The sequence below is a fragment of the Homo sapiens genome, chromosome 7, assembly GCF_000001405.40.
Source record: "Homo sapiens chromosome 7, GRCh38.p14 Primary Assembly".
In the NCBI taxonomy this organism is placed as follows: domain Eukaryota; kingdom Metazoa; phylum Chordata; class Mammalia; order Primates; family Hominidae; genus Homo; species Homo sapiens.
The window spans coordinates 114,050,242-114,068,106 of NC_000007.14; the positions used below are offsets into that span (position 1 = coordinate 114,050,242).

General features: G+C 38.7%; 1 annotated feature.

Annotated features, from left to right (window-relative positions):
- Positions 1,744-1,893: an enhancer, noted in NCBI's record as "active region_26522". NCBI's record gives its function as "activates an Ori minimal core promoter by ATAC-STARR-seq in GM12878 lymphoblastoid cells {active_cell/tissue: GM12878}" and the evidence as "EXISTENCE:reporter gene assay evidence [ECO:0000049][PMID:35858748]".

Sequence of the window (17,865 nt, forward strand, 5' to 3'; positions counted from 1 at the left end):
AAAAGATTATGGACAAATGGTCTGTTACAATAGCTATGTGTGGAGCATGGCCTGGGACTTGGCAAAAGCCTGTAAGCACTATCCAGAGACAACCACTGGGATTTGGAACCACAAAATACCCATTTGAGAGACAATTACTAGCATGCTATTGGATATTAATTGAAAATGCCCCTATGACTGAAGGACATAAAATAATCCTGAAATCTGAACCACCCATAATGTCTTAAGTAATCTTAAATAAACGCTCTAATGGGAAGGGCATTGTCCAGAAAAATGCCATAATAAATTGGCAAAGAACTGTTTGTTTTATAAGAGGCAGTTCCAAGGTGAATGTATAGCATTTTGTTTGTAAGGCTACCAATCTGATCAAAGAAGGTGTGATGGGTAATTTTATCGTCAACATGGTAGGCTGTGGTGCCTAGTTGTTTGGCAGAACACTAGCCTACACGTTGCTGTGAGGGTATTTTATAGATGTGATTAATACCCATGATCAATTGACCTTAAGTGGTTTACCCACCACAACATGGGTGGGCCTTGTCCAATCAGCTGAAGGTCTTCATGACAAAAACCTGAGGTTTTCTGGATAAGAAGAAATTCTGTGTTAAGACTACAACATAAACTCTTGCCTGAGTTTCCATTCTGCTGGCCTTTTCTGTGGATTTCATACTTGCCAGGCTTCACAATAACACCGTATCACTTGAAATTTCCTTCTTACCTGATGCAGTAGTCCCAGGACTAGGGCTGCAACTGTGGGTACAGGAAGCAGAGATGATCCTTAAGTAAGGAAACTGGAACGGTACTTGTTAACACTTATGTCAGAATTACTAGGGCTTAATGGGGTGAACTGTGTATTCATCTCAATTGGCAAAACTGTGGTTGATAATAAATGTGCTTATATTACCTAGTGGTTGAGGTAACTCATCAGTTCTGTACCTATGTAACCCTACTCTAAATTACTAGAAACAAACTGAGTGGGAGGAATTTGCTAGACTAGTATTGCTGACGGCAATCTGGACCAGCACCTTGGCAGAGCCTAATATCCCTTCCAAAAGTAGAAAAGTTTAGCTATATATGTAGAGAAGGAAGAATTGTAGCTAAGGGCAAGGAAATTAATAAATGGGTCATACAATGACAAAAATCCAGTATTGCATTAATATCTTGAAAGAGGCCCAGAGCAAGAGATGATATTTTGAGAAATGAATTTTTTTATTTAAGCTGCTCAGCCCATGGTATTTCTGTTATGGTAACCCAAATGGACTAAGACAGAAATTGGTTCCAAGAAGGTGGGTGGGGGCGGGGGGGGGGGGGTGGTGCAGGGTACTATGACAAATACCTAAAAATGTAAAAGCAGATTTGAAGTTAGGTAATGCATAGAGGCTAAAAGAGTTTTGAGGTGCATGCAAGAAAAAAACCTAACTGCCATGAATGAAATTTTGAAAGCCAATTTGATGAGACCTCAGATGGCAATGAAGAACACATTATTGGAAACTGGAGCAAAGGCAATCCCTGTTCTGAAGTAATAAACAACTTGCCTGAATTGTGTTCATGTTCTACTGTTTTATAGACTGTGTCAAAGAATTGTGTTTGCATTCTAGTGTTTGTGCAGTGTAGGCAGAACTTGCAAGCAACAAAATTGGATATCTAGCTGAAGAGATTCTAAGCAAACTGTTGAAGGTATGGCTTGGCTTCTTCAGACTGCTTATAGTAAAATTTGAGAAGTGAAAATGACTTAAGGATATAACTGTTAAGCAAAGAGGAAGCAGAACTTATAATTGTGGAAAATTCTCAGCCTATTCACATTGAAAAAACATGAGAAAGAATGTTTTGAAGAGAACATTAAGGGTGTGCTCAACTGACTGTTTGATAATATGATAAGTATAGATGCAAACTATGGACTGAATCAACCATCTCAACAAAAGCCAGCAACAGTGATATGAGACTATACCAGAGGAAACACTGCCAAGCTGGGTCTAGAGAAAATAGGGAAGTGGGACAAACTTAAGAATACTGTCAGACTTCTCAGACCCTACAGGACGAGGTCATTGAACTAGGCAGCTGCTGCTATGGTTTGAATGTGTCCCTTACGAAATTCATCTACTGAAACTTAATGGCCAATGTGACAATATTAACAGGCGGTGCCTTTAAGAGGTGATTAGATCATAAGGGCTCTTCTTTCATTGATGGAATTAAAGCCTTTATAATAGAAGCTTAACAATGTGTTCAGCCTTCTTTTCCCCTTTTGTCTTTTCCACCATGTGAGGACACAGTGTTCCTCCCCTCCAGAGGATGCAGCATCAAGATGCCATCTTGGAAGGAGAGACTGGGACCCTCACCAGACACCAAACCTGCCAGTGCCTTGATCTTGGACTTTCCATCCACCAGAACTGGGAGAAATAATTTTTCGGCCTTTATAAATTACCCAGTTTCTGGTATTTTGTTAAAGCAGCACACACCAAGACTGCCACAGAGATGCACTATTCTCAAGCCAAGAGAGGAAAGACCTCCGAGATGATTTGGAAATTATCAGGGCTGCCACTCCCACCACAGGCTCAGAGTGCACAGGCCCAGGAAGCAAGGCTGCCTCCACCTCAATTTCAAAGACAGAATCAATGCTCACTGGAGCCTGGTGGTTTGACATCCCCACTCATCCCAACAGAGAACTGTGGCAGGAGCAGGGCCACTGCAGAAAGCCACGATGTGGGCAGTGACCCCAGTGAACTGTGGGAGTGATGCTGCTAGCCCTGAGTGTCTACAAGGCAGGACCTCTGCTGCTGTGGTCCTGGAGCACAAAGCGTGAGGTCAAAGAGGATTCTCCTTGAGACTTAAGATCGCATGCAGTTTATCTTGCTAGGTTTTGGATTTGCTTGGGACTTATCGTCTCTTCCTTCTTTCCCATTTCTCCCTTTTGGAATGGGAATGTCTATCCTATGCTTGCCCCATCATTGTATTTTGGAAGAAAGTATCTTGTTTGGTTTTACAGATTCACACCTAGAGTAGAATTTTACTTCAGGATGAACCATACCTTGAGTATAACTCGTATCTGATTTAGATGATTTTCAGATGACTCTTTGGACTTGAGACTTTAGAAGTGATGCTGTAATGAGTTGACTTTGAGGCTAGTTGGGATAGAATGGATGTATATTTCATGTGAGAAGAACATGAATTTGGGGAAGTCAGGAGTAGAATGCAATGGACTGAATGTTTGTGTTCTCCCAAAATTTATTTATTGAAAACCTAACCCCAGTGAAGTGGTATTAGGAGTTGGGGCCTTTTGGAGGTGACGAGATCATGAGGGTGGAGCCCTCATGAATGGGGTTAGTGCCCTTATAAAAGGGACCCAGATAGCTCTCTCCCCCTCTTTCCATCAAGTGTGGACACAGTGAATAGACAGCTGTCAATGAACAAAGGAAGTGGGTTCACCAAACACTGAATCTATCAGTGTCTTGATCTTGAATTTCCTAGCCTTCAGAACTGTCAGTTATAAATGTTCTTTGTTTAAGCCACCAATCTATGGTATTTCATCAAAGCAGCTCAAACAAACAAAGACACTAACCATCAGCTAATTTCTATGCCTAAATATTTCTGTACATGTTTATCATAAGATACAAATAACAGTAAAGCAAGGGAAAAAACTATGGAAAATTATGCAGTTTTTTGTAGGCTTTGTAAAATGGGTTAGTTTTTTCTTTAAGTCTATCCCTACCTCGATAATGGATCCTCGATTGTGAGTCATATTTATACTGATACTATTGCTTTATCTGTAATAAATGCTATATTAAATATAAATTCTCAAACATGATTATTTTGTTATAAAATATCTTGGCCAAAGGCCATGGGATTACTTATGTTGTAAAGAATTTAGATTTGCCCAAAGAGAAGTCTGGCCTTTGCTTCTGGTTTCTGGGAAGTAAACTGTATCAATCCCAATAGGACTATCCTTGTCTGAGTGGGGACTGGCCTTACTGGATCTTAGAGCAGGACCAGCCACACCCAGTGGTCCTAGGGTGAGAGCTAGCTATGCCAGAAAGACCAGCAATATAACTTAGGGTGGGGCCCTTGGATCATATAGTTATCAGTCAACGTGGAGGCTGAGATCAATCATGTGGGAAATCAATTAATCAATCCTGCCTACCTAGTGAAGTTGCAGTGAATGCCAAACCTTGAGTGAGCTTCTTTGGTTGGCAATACTCCATGCATATTATCACACATCAAGGCTGGGATAGTAACACATCCTGATTTCACAGAGAAAAGGCAATGGAAGCTTCATGTTTGCAGCTCCACTGGATGCTGCCCTTTGCACCTCTTCTTTTGGTTAATTTTAATCTGTTTTCCTTTCGTGTAATAAACTCTGTGAGTATAACAGTTTTCATTGGTTGGGCATGGTGGCTCACACCTCTAATCCCAATGCTTTGGAAGGCTGAAGATTGCTTGAGCCCAGGAGCTTAATGCTGCAGTGAACTATGATGACACCACTGAACCCCAGCCTGGGTGAAAGAATAATACCCCATCATTATAAAAAAATAATTTTCAGTCAGTTCTGTGAATCCTTCTAGTGGAATATCAAACCTGAGGGTGGTTTTGGGAATACCCTCAGCTTGCAATTGCTGTCAGAAATGAAGGTAATCTTGGGGACTGTGCCTTCTAAGTATATAGTTGGCCTTAACTCTTTAGAATCTTTATAGGTTTTTCTTGGAGGGGGTGGTTCCAATATGGCCGAATAGGAACAGCTCCAGTCTACACCTCCCAGCGTGAGCAACGCAGAAGACAGATGATTTCTGCATTTCCAACTGAGGTACCGGGTTCATCTCACTGGGGAGTGTCAGACAGTGGGTGCAGGACAGTGATGCAGTGCACCAAGCTTGAGCCAAAGCAGGGTGAGGCATCGCCTCACCCGGGAAGCACAAGGGGTCAGGGAATTCCCTTTTCTAGCCAAGGAAAGGGGTGACAGATGGCACCTGGAAAATCGGGTCATTCCCACCCTAATACTGCGCTTTTCCGACGGTCTTAGCAAATGGCACATCAGGAGATTATGTCCCGCACCTGTCGGAGGGTCCTATGCCCACGGAGCCTAGCTCATTGCTAGCACAGCAGTCTGAGATCAAACTGCAAGGAGGCAGTGAGGCTGGGGGAGGGGTATCCGCCATTGCTGAGGCTTGAGTAGGTAAAGAAAGCAGACTGGAAGCTCGAACTGGGTGGAGCCCACTGCAGCTCAAGGAGGCCTACCTGCCTCTGTAGACTCCACCTCTGGGGGCAGGGCATAGCTGAACAAAAGGCAGCAGAAACCTCTGCAGACTTAAATGTCCCTGTCTGACAGATTGGAAGACAGTAGTGGTTCTCCCAGCATGCAGCTTGAGATGTGAGAACGGACAGACTACCTCCTCAAGTGGGTCCCTGACCCCCAAGTAGCCTAACTGGGAGGCACCCCCCAGTAGGGGCAGACTGACACCTTACACCGCCCGGTACCACTCTGAGACAAAACTTCCAGAGGAACGATAAGGCAGCAACATTTGCTGTTCACCAATATTCGCAGTTCTGCAGCCTCTGCTGCTGATACCCAGGCAAACAGGGTCTAGAGTGGACCTCCGCCAAACTCCAACAGACCTGCAGCTGAGGGTCCTGACTGTTAGAAAGAAAACTAACAAACAGAAAGGACATCCACACCAAAACCCCATCTGTCCGTCACCATCATCAAAGACCAAAGGTAGATAAAACCACAAAGATGGGGAAAAAACAGAGCAGAAAAACTGAAAATTCTAAAAATCAGAGCACCTCTCCTCCTCCAAAGGAATGCAGCTCCTCACCAGCAATGGAACAAAGCTGGATGGAGAATGACTTTGATGAGTTGAGAGAAGAAGGCTTCAGATGATCAAACTTCTCTGAGCTACAGGAGGAAGTTCGAATCCATGGCAAAGAAGTTAAAAACCTTGAAAAAAGATTAGATGAATGGCTAACTAGAATAACCAATGCAAAGAAGTCCTTAAAGGACCTGATGGAGCTGAAAACCACAGCACAAGAACTACATGATGAAAGCACAAGCCTCAGTAGCCGATTCGATCAACTGGAAGAAAGGGTATCAGTGATGGAAGATCAAATCAATTAAATGAAAAGAGAAGAGAAGTTTAGAGAAAAAAGAATAAAAAGAAACAAACAAAGCCTCCAAGAAATACGGGACTATGTGAAAATACCAAATCTACATCTGATTGGTGTACCTGAAAGTGACAGGGAGAATGGAAACAAGTTGGAAAACACTCTGAAGGATATTATCCAGGAGAACTTCCCCAATCTAGCAAGGCAGGCCAACCTTCAGATTCAGGAAATACAGAGAACGCCACAAAGATACTCCTCAAGAAGAGCAACTCCAAGACACATAACTGTCAGATTCACCAAAGTTGAAACGAAGGAAAAAATGTTAAGGGCAGCCAGACAGAAAGGTCGGGTTACCCACAAAGGGAAGCCCATCAGATTAACAGCTGACCTCTCGGCAGAAACTCTACAAGCCAGAAGAGAGTGGGGGCCAATATTCAACATTCTTAAACAAAAGAATTTTCAACCCAGAATTTCATATACAGCCAAACTAAGCTTCATAAGTGAAGGAGAAATAAAATCCTTTACAGACATGCAAATGCTGAGAGATTTTGTCACCACCAGGCCTGCCTTACAAGAGCTCCTGAATGAAGCACTAAACATGAAAAGGAACAACTGGTACCAGCCACTGTAAAAACATGCCAAATTGTAAAGACCATCGAGGCTAGGAAGAAACTGCATTAAGTAACGAGCAAAATAACCAGCTAACATCATAATGACAGCATCAAATTCACACATAACAATATTAACCTTAAATGTAAATGGGCTAAATGCTCCAATTAAAAGACACAGACTGGCAAATTGGATAAAGAGTCAAGACCCATCAGTGTGCTGTATTCAAGAGACCCATCTCACATGCAGAGACACACATAGGCTCAAAATAAAGGGATAGAGGAAGATCTACTAAGCAAATGGAAAACAAAAAAAGGCAGGGGTTGCAATCCTAGTCTCTGATAAAACAGAGTTTAAACCAACAAAGATCAAAAGGGACAAAGAAGGCCATTTCATAATGGTAAAGGGATCAATTCAACAAGAAGAGCTAACTGTCCTAAATATATATGCACCCAATACAGGAGCACCCAGATTCATAAGGCAAGTCCTTAGAGACCTATAAAAAGACTTAGAATCCCACACAATAATAATGGGAGACTTTAGCACCCCACTGTCAACATTAGACAGATCAACGAGACAAAAGTTAACAAGGATATCTAGGAATTGAACTGAGCTCTGCACCAAGCAGACCTAATAGACATCTACAGAACTCTCCACCCCAAATCAACAGAATATACATTCTTCTCAGGACCACACCACACTTATTCCAAAACTGACCACATAGTTGGAAGTAAAGCACTCCTTAGCAAATGTAAAAGAACAGAAACTATAACAAACTGTCTCTCAGACCACAGTGCAACCAAACTAGAACTCAGGATTAAGAAACTCACTCAAAACTGCTCAACTACATGGAAACTAACCAACCTGCTCCTGAATGACTACTGGGTACATAATGAAATGAAGGCAGAAATAAAGATGTTCTTTGAAACCAATGAAAACAAAGACACAACATACCAGAATCTCTGGGACACATTTAAAGCAGTGTATGGAGGGAAATTTATAGCACTAAATGCCCAAAAGAGAAAGCAGGAAAGATCTAAAATTGACACCCTAACACCACAATTAAAAGAACTAGAGAAGCAAGAGCAAACACATTCAAAAGCTAGCAGAAGGCAAGAAATAACTAAGATCAGAGGAGAACTGAAGGAGATAGAGACAGAAAAAACCCTTCAAAAAATCAGTGAATCCAGGAGTTGGTTTTTTGAAAAGATCAACAAAATTGATATACCGCTAGCAAGACTAAAAAGGTAGAAAAGAGAGAAGAATCAAATAGATGCAATAAAAAATGATAAAGAGGATATCACCACTGATACCACAGAAATACAAACTAACATCAGAGAATACTATAAACACCTCTACACAAATAAACTGGAAAACCTAGAAGAAATGGATAAATTCCTCGACACATACACCCTCCCAAGACTAAACCAGGAAGAAGTTGAATCTCTGAATAGACCAATAACAGGCTCTGAAATTGAAGTAATAATTAATAGCTTACCAACCAAGAAACGTCCAGGACCAGATGGAGTCACAGCCGAATTCTACCAGAGGTACAAGGAGGAGCTGGTACCATTCCTTCTGAAACTATTCCAATCAATAGAAAAAGAGGGAATCTTCCCTAACTCATTTTGTGAGGCCAGCATCATCCTGATACCAAAGCCTGGCAGAGACACAACAAAAAAAGAGAATTTTAGACCAATATCCCTGATGAACATCGATGCAAAAATCCTCAATAAAATACTGGCAAACCGAATCCAGTAGCACATCAAAAAGCTTATCCACCATGATCAAGTGGGCTTTATCCCTGGGATGCAAGGCTGGTTCAACATATGCAAATCAATAAACGCAATCTAGCATATAAACAGAACCAATGACAAAAACCACATGATTATCTCAATAGATGCAGAAAAGGCCTTTGACAAAATTCAACAGCGCTTCATGCTAAAAACTCTCAATAAATTAGGTATTGATGGGACGTATCTCAAAATAATAAGAGCTATCTATGACAAACCCACAGCCAATATCATACTGCCTGGGAAAAAACTGGAAGCATTCCCTTTGAAAACTGGCACAAGACAGGGATGCCTTCTCTCACCACTCCTATTCAACACAGTGTTGGAAGTTCTGGCCAGGGCAATCAGGCAGGAGAAGGAAATAAAGGGTATTCAATTAGGAAAAGAGGAAGTCAAATTGTCCCTGTTTGCAGATGACATGATTGTATATGTAGAAAACCCCATCGTCTCAGCCCAAAATCTCCTTAAGCTGATAAGCAACTTCAGGAAAGTCTCAGGATACAGAATCAATGTGCAGAAATCACAAGCATTCTTATACACCAATAACAGATAAACAGAGAGCCAAATCATGAGTGAACTCTCATTCACAATTGCTTCAAAGAGAATAAAATACCTAGGAATCTGACTTACAAGGGATGTGAAGGACTTCTTCAAGGAGAACTACAAACCACTGCTCAATGAAATAAAAGAGGATACAAACAAATGGAAGAACATTCCATGCTCATGGGTAGGAAGAATCAATACCATGAAAATGGCCATACTGCCCAAGGTAATTTATAGATTCAATGCCATCCCTATCAAGCTACCAATGACTTTCTTCACAGAACTGGAAAACACTACTTTAAAGTTCATATGGTACCAAAAAAGAGCCCACATTGCCAAGTCAATCCTAAGCCAAAAGAACAAAGCTGGAGGCATCATGCTACCTGTCTTCAAAGTATACCACAAGGCTACAGTAACCAAAATAGCATGGCACTGGTAGCAAAACAGATATAGACTAATGGAACAGAACAGAGCCCTCAGAAATAATACCACACATCTACAACTATCTGATCTTTGACAAACCTGACAAAAACAAAAAATGGGGAAAGGATTCCCTATTTAATAAATGGTGCTGGGAAAACTGGTTACTCATATGTAGAAAGCTGAAACTGGACCCCTTCCTTACACCTTATACAAAAATTAATTCAAGATGGATTAAAGACTTAAATGTTAGACCTAAAACCATAAAAATCCTAGAAGAAATCCTAGGCAATCCCATTCAGGACATAGGCATGGGCAAGGACTTCATGTCTAAAACACCAAACACAATGGCAACAAAAGCCAAAATTGACAAATGGGATCTAATTAAACTAAAGAGCTACTGCACAGCAAAAGAAACTACCATCAGAGTGAACAGGCAACCTACAGAACGGGAGAAAATTTTTGCAATCTACTCATCTGACAAAGGGTTAATATCCAGAATCTACAAAAAACTCAAACAAATTTACAAGAAAAAAACAAACAACCCCATCGAAAAGTGGGCAAAGGATGTGAATAGACACTTCTCAGACATTTATGCAGCCAACAGACACATGAAAAAATGCTCATCATCACTGGCCATCAGATAAATGCAAATCAAAACCACAATGAGATATCATCTCACACCAGCCAGAATGGCAATCATTAAAAAGTCAGGAAACAACAGGTGCTGGAGAGGATGTGGAGAAAAAGGAACACTTTTACACTGTTGGTGGGACTGTAAACTAGTTCAACCATTGTGGAAGTCCGTGTGGCGATTCCTCAGGGATCTAGAAGTAGAAATATCATTTGACCCAGCCATCCCATTACTGGGTATATACCCAAAGGACTATAAATCATGCCGCCATAAAGACACATGCACATGTATGTTTATTGTGGCACTATTCACAATAGCAAAGACTTGGAACCAACCCAAATGTCCAACAATGATAGACTGGATTAAGAAAATGTGGCACATATACACTGTGGAAGACTATGCAGCCATAAAAAATGATGAGTTCATGTGCTTTGTAGGGACATCGAAGCTGGAAACTATCATCTCATCAAACTATTGCAAGGACAAAAAACCAAACACCGCATGTTCTCACTCATAGGTGAGAATTGAACTATGAGAACACTTGGACGCAGGAAGGGGAACATGACATCCCGGGGCCTGTTGAGGGGTGGGGGAGGGGGGAACGATAGCATTAGGAGATATACCTAATGTAAATGACGAGTTAATGGGTGCAGCACACCAACATGGCACATGTATACATATGTAACAAACCTGCACATTCTGCACATGTACCCTAAAACTTAAAGTATAATAAAAAAAAGAATATTTATAGGTTTTTCTTGTTATTTATGAATGTATAAATGTTTACAATTTTTTTAATGTATGCAATTCTCATATCGCCACATCGTGGATATAATGAAAAAGTATTTTCATTATATTTATAAAACCCAAAGTGAAAGATCCCACATAGACATTATAGAGTGGTATCTGGACTACATGGACCTTACTTAAAAAGGGGCATAAATATTTTGTTGCCTTAGAGTGGACAAGGCAGTCTCTCTTAAAGCAAAATTTTGTCTGAGCATACTCCACACCAGTATAGTGAATAATAAAAACCAGAGAGTTCACAGGATGTGCAGCTATGCCTAAGGATACTTCACTGTATATTTTCCAGGGTTATGACATTTATCTGTGTGTGTGTGTGTCTGTGTGTGTGTGTATTCAAATCTGGGTCCCTTTTATAAGGGCATCTCTACACCAGATATGCTGAATGTGGAGTCCTAAGATCTATTTCTAATGAGTAGCTACAACACATTACTGCAGTGATGGCAATTCTTGGCAAGACTCGGGCAATTCTCTTAAGTTTTCTTTGACTTGGTTAATTGGAAAATAACAAATTCTAGGAAGTGCAAGGCAGTAAGGAAAATAAAAGTCTAGGGGGATCAATGAAAGGAGGGAGCAGACAAGGGGAAAACTAGACTGAAGGAGTATGCAGTAGACATAATGGGCTTTTGTGCTAAGCAGAAGATTTTAGGTTTCATTCTGCAGTTTTGACAAGCAATTGAAGAATTTTGAATATGATAGTGTTTTTTAACCCAATATCTTTAGCTTTTAAGATGCATTCTACAAATCAGTGTCTTATCTAGAAGACCACATTTCTTTTCAACCAAAAAATATGGGTTAAATGAATGAATGTTGTTTCCCAAAACTCAAGGCTTGCTTCATTACCAGAAGATGAAAGGCTAATTATTTGACTACAAAGGTATTTGATTTCCTTAATGATAATCACTTCATCATTCCTTCTCTAAGATGAAAAAGAAAATAAAAGATTTTTTTTTCATTCTAATGGACTCAGGATAATATATCAGAGTCCCAATTTCAACAATTAAAGAGAAACTTTAAAAATCAATGCTAATGAAACCAGACGTAAAAGAAAAAATACATATAAAAAAAGCATATTTGAATCACAGTTTTTTGAGGTATCAGTCCATAAAATGAGGGAAATGTATTAGATTGTCTTTAAGTCTCCTTTGGCTCTTTAATTGTTTCTGTAAATTCTACCCTAGCAAAAAAAAGTGAGAATATGTTCTTGGAATTCATTAATAATTTAATAAAAAGTAAACAATCAGCAGAAGCTAAAATTCACTGGGTTATTATATGTTAATTTATACATAATTTCTCTGGAGAGTTGCTTTTGCTTTTTTATATTTCTTCTAAGCCAGTTTTCAAACCTTCCTGCAGAGGTGCTTCAGTGGCAGAGCAGAATGAGTGGATCCCTGAAACCTTGGTAAGACATATGTATATTTGGTGATTAATAATTTATCTTAAGATAGGAGGATAAGTTCAAGAGCTCTGTCTTAAAGAATAGTGACTACAGCTAATGTATTGTATTCTTGAAAATTGTTAAGAAGAATTTAACTTCTGGAAGAAAGTTTTCTCACCACGAAAAAAAAAAAGCAGGTAAGGTAATGTGTATGCTAATTAGCTCCATTTCACAATGTTCAAAACAACATATTTTACATGATAAATATACACAATTTGTATTTGTTAATTAAAAATAAATAATATTTATCTTAACAATTCATTAGAATTTGACATTCTATATCATAGAATAATTAGTTGTAATATTTCAACTATGAGACAATAAAATCGAGATTTCTGGAAAAGGTGTTCTTTTACTCCTACACTTTCAGACACCCCCCCACTCCCATGCCCAAACACATAGTGCATGCACACACACAGACACACCCACAGACACGCCCACAGTGACTTCTGACTCTAAGGTTACTTGTTTTTCAATCTGTTCAGACTTGCTCCTTGATAGTGCGCTTGGCCTAAATGCCTCTGCCAAAGTGGCTTTGCCCTCCTGTTACTCTAACTATGGTAAGGCTTTTCTCATCTATCCATTAACTTGCTTTTGTAATTATATCATCACACTTCTTTTCTTTGCCTGCAAGGCTCTGGACACTGATTCCCATCTGTATGGAAGGAGCCCCCATTTTTCCCTTAACACACAGCCCAGATCCTTTATTCTGTTTTTCTTCACCATACACCCTCACTCCCTCTCACCCTTTTTCTCACTCTTATTGTCTATTCTGTTATCACAGTTCCGTTTTGCGTGACAGTGTCCCATAAAATTCATTGGGTTTAAATCCTTTGATGATACTTCCTTCTAGTGCTTTCACTGCCCAAACTGTGTGACGGTTTTGTTTTAGGTTTGTTTCACATTTGCACTGGATTCAAAGTCTAGTAAATTTTTCACATTGTTTTTCTGGTATTCTGTTTTTCAACCCATTTGAATTATCTGATTAGTGAACAAATTTTATTTAATTAAACCTTTCTAAATCCATCTGGCATGTGCCTTTGATGGAATAAAAGTTAACAGTGCTAGATATTAGAACACAAGAAACCGTTTGCTTGTGATGGAAATAATGATAAAGTGGGAGATCCATTCTACATTTAAATGTTATGTTTTCTCGGGTTTTCTAAATTACATTTTTCATGTCTCCAACATAAAAAAAGAGTTCTCTGATATCACCTATGTTTGCATTGACTTGGCTTCTTTAGGGTGTTTGGTTGGTTGCTCATTATTTGTTAATATTTTTATATGAATGGTGGCATGCGCTTGCAGTCCCAGCTACTCGGGAGGCTGAGACAGGAGAATGGCGTGAACCCACGGGGCCGAGGTTGCGGTGAGCCGAGATCGCACCACTGCACTCCAGCCTGGGCGACAGAGCAAGACTCCATCTTAAATAAATAAATAAATAAATAAATGCACAGAACTGGTATTTACCCTCAAGGTAGGGATAATTTTTATTGTGTTTTTCTTTCTTTCTTTTTATTGTTTCTTGGGTTTTTGTATGTGTGTGACCTAGGACAAATAAGTTCCCTGAGCCTTAGTTTTCTCATCTGCAAATGACAAATAATATCTATTTCACAGATATTTTGGGAGAATGAAATCAAAGGCAGTGTGCAAAGCACCAAGTTTACTGGTATTCAATCATTGTTCATTTATTTCTGCCTTCTTTTTCAATGATTTTTTTCAATGTATCAAATGTAGATTCTGTCAATACGCCTTTATCACTATCTTCAAATGACTTTCACAGATAGTTTCATGATTATGTCCATTAATATTTATCCTTTTAAGTGACTGAAAAAGAGAAAAACACAAGATTTAAAATTAATTTTGAAGATAACAGGGATTTTTTTACACACATAGCTATCAAAGGCCCAGATGTGTACCATATGAGTTGATGAAAATGTATATAGGAAGCTGTGATAAAAGCTTTTCGTTTTAGTCTATCATATCCTAAATTCAAGGTTACTCTTATACAGCTGGTATATATTAAATATAACATTTTGAGTTATAACAAAAATGGCTGACTTAAAAAGGACGGAAAATTTGAACAGAACATTAGGAATATTTCCTCCTGGGACATGGTAAAGTTAGGAGAGAAGCTATATGTTTCTAGGGCATCTCTTCAATATGGACAAGATATCAAAATCCAAGAAAAATATTTAGGGGATTATATTTTGCTCTAAGTATTGCCTTTTATTTATCTATAGTCTCTTTTAGAACACACACACAAGGGGGACATCTCAAAATGCACACACACAATAAAATAAAAATTATATCACATATACCTCTATGAGTGCCACTGGAAGAATGTTTGAAATGGCAGAAGAAGAAACTTCAAATAAGAAAGAAATATGGATTAATAAAAAGAGATGAAGGAAAAGTATTGTGGCAAACACTACTAGTTCCAAATCTATCATCATTTCCCTCTAATATCTCTGCTAAGAGAACCCTACTTTGTCTGTCTTGACAATGGACTTGGCTCCAAGTGATGAAACATGATCATTTCAAGGAAGCCAATCTTAGAATTTTGCCCCCATTCCCAGCTACTCCTGAGGCATAATTCAGGGCAATGAGACATGAAAGAAAGTCTGTTGGGGAGCTTTGGCAGAGATTTTCTTTCTTATAAAATGGCACGGAAGTGAACGTGCTAAAACTGCCCCATCCCCCTGTTACTTGCAGTGAGCAGGTACATAATGCCTGGAGCTTTTGGAACCATCTTGCAAGCATAAGGTCCCAAATATAAGAATCAATACACCAAGGATAGTGGAATTAAAAAATAAAAAATATCCAGTGCATTAACAACATATTTAAGCCACTGGGCCAACCCTGAAACCGTATCATCAGGTTTCTTTTTAAGGCACAATAATTATTTTTATGGCTTAAATCACTGTTAGTCAACTATTCTATTGCTTAACACAAAATAATTATTAAAGAACACAAGGGTTTTCTGGTTTTGTTTTGGGGTTTGTTATTATAGCTGTTGTTGCTGCTGCTTTTTGTTTTGCATTTAACAAATAATATGAGAACCGCTGACTGAAAAATGAAAAATTCAGATAGTTCTAACATCCCCAAATTGTAAGCAGCCCAAATAGTCATCAATAAGTGAATAAAGACATTATAGTATATCTGTACAATGGAATACTACTTGGGAATAAAAAGGAATGAACTAATGATATGAACAACACAAATAAGTCTCAAAATTGTTACGTTAGTGAAAGATGCCAGACACAAAAGATGATAGGAGCCAATTTGTATGAAGCTCTAAAACAGGTAAAACTAACCTGTGGTAGAATAAATCAAAAGAATGGTTTCCTTTGTATGGTTGTGTGATGGACTGGAAAACAAAGTGCTCTTTCTAGGGTGATATAAAAGTTAAATCTCTTGATGGAAGTAGGGGTTTCATGAATATATGCATTTGTCAGAACTCACTGAACTTTGTACTTAATATTCTGCAACCCATTTATGTAAATTGTATTTCAATAAAAGTGGTGAAGGAAAAAGCATACAATAACAAGAAGAACTATTTTTTGTTTAATCTGGTAGAGATAAGAGCTGGTTAAAAAAAGTGTTGTGTAGGATACGATGTGGAGGAAAGAGCACAATCTGCTGTATGTCAACAGGACTAAGAATTTATGTTACACATATCCTTTACATAGGATGTCCACTTTAGTGAATTTGTACTAAAAGAAAAAAATACAAGTGTGTCTGTGTGTGTGTGTGTGTATACATATATATATAAAGATTTTCTATCAGTAAATGATAGGTGAGACTTTGAATAAAGAGCGCTCCCTTGGCTCAAAATTATAGCAGTGAGAAATAAAATGGAAAATCAGAAACTCTGGACTCAATAACAAGATAAAAATCTCCCTGGAACAGAAATACAAAGCAGCTTGTAAGGCTGAAACATACCTGCTGTTACAAGCAGTGGTTACCAGGAGTATAGCTCCTGTAGAAAAAACGGGACAGAATATGTTCCAAAAGGAAGGAGGACCAAAGTCAACCTCACTGAAGGAGACAGAAAAAATATTACTGGTTTCACATACTGCCTGAGACTAGCTCATGGCAGACGTAGGGAGGTGGTGGGATCAGGATGCAGGTACAGTCAACACAAAGTTGTTAAATACATCGGTGTGAGAATAAAGACAGTTAAAGGAGACTGAGGGAAAAACAACAACAAACCGGCAACATAGTAAATCTCTCTTCCTCAAGATATCCTGCAAGCCAAAATTCCAAATCACTGGTAGAAATCTAATGTTAAAATACTCTCAAAACTACAGGTATCTAAGATCTACAATGAACTTTGCTACAATTACCCCAATAACTTTCAGGTAATAATGTAAAAACTTTTCAAAATATTTAAAGTGATGATAGAATTATTGAACACAACAAAATATTATCAAATATGCAATTATATAATCTGTGTAACTCAAATTTTCTTGTTAATCCACACCACACACACAATTCTTTGTGATGGGGATAAAGGGCCTTAACCTTAACATCTTAACGTCCAGGTAGGTGTTGGCAATGGCCTATTAGTAGCCTTCTAGCTAGGATGCTTGCTTTATTCCCAGTGGCTGCCTAGACCACGAATTAGCAAATCTGATCTAGCGCTTGTTTTTGTACAGTCCACAGATAGTTTTACATTTTTAAATGTTAGTGACAAAAATCTAAAGAAAATAACATTTCATGACATATAAAAAGTATAAGAATTCAAATTATGGTGCTCATAAATAAAGTTGTATTAGAACATAGCGCTCTCAATAGTCTAAATATTTTACTATGGCTCTTTTTATGAAGAGTTGAATAGTTGTGACATAGACCATATGACCTGCAAAGCTAAAATATTTATGATCTGGCTATTTACAGAAAAAGCTTGCTGATTCCTGGCCTACACCATCACTAAGGAATAGGTTTAAATCAACAGCTCTTATCAGCTGAAGGTCCTGAATCTCCTGCTAAACACTTTACCTTCCAGTGTTAGGAGAGCAGAGAGACAGTATGCATCCCTGCAGTGGAAGCAAATGTCATTGAAATGTGGAAGCCTAGAGTTATTATTTGGGAACCCTTATATGTGGGTCCTAGATATGATTATTCTAGCTTCTGCTGATTATTCTATAATTGTCCTATGATTTCACTGGTTTTGTTACTTCCCCAACAGCTGGTTGTAAATTTTATACATAGATAAATTAAGTAGCCCTAATATGTCAGTTTTAGATATGATTCGTGCACATATGGCTCTGATTCCTCCACCTGTCTGGCTATAGTTTTACATACATGCAAAGTACATTATCATCATGTGTTGAACCTGATTGCAATATAGTCCCCTTCACAGGACACAGGATTCGAACTGATAAAGGGATGAGGCCAGAATTGGACATCAGAATCATAAACACACTACTGGAAGTCAACAACAGCAAAACAAAATTTGAAAATGAATGCACCTCAGATAAAATTAATATCTTGGAAAAATTGGATAAAGACTCTAAAATAGGTATGTTTTG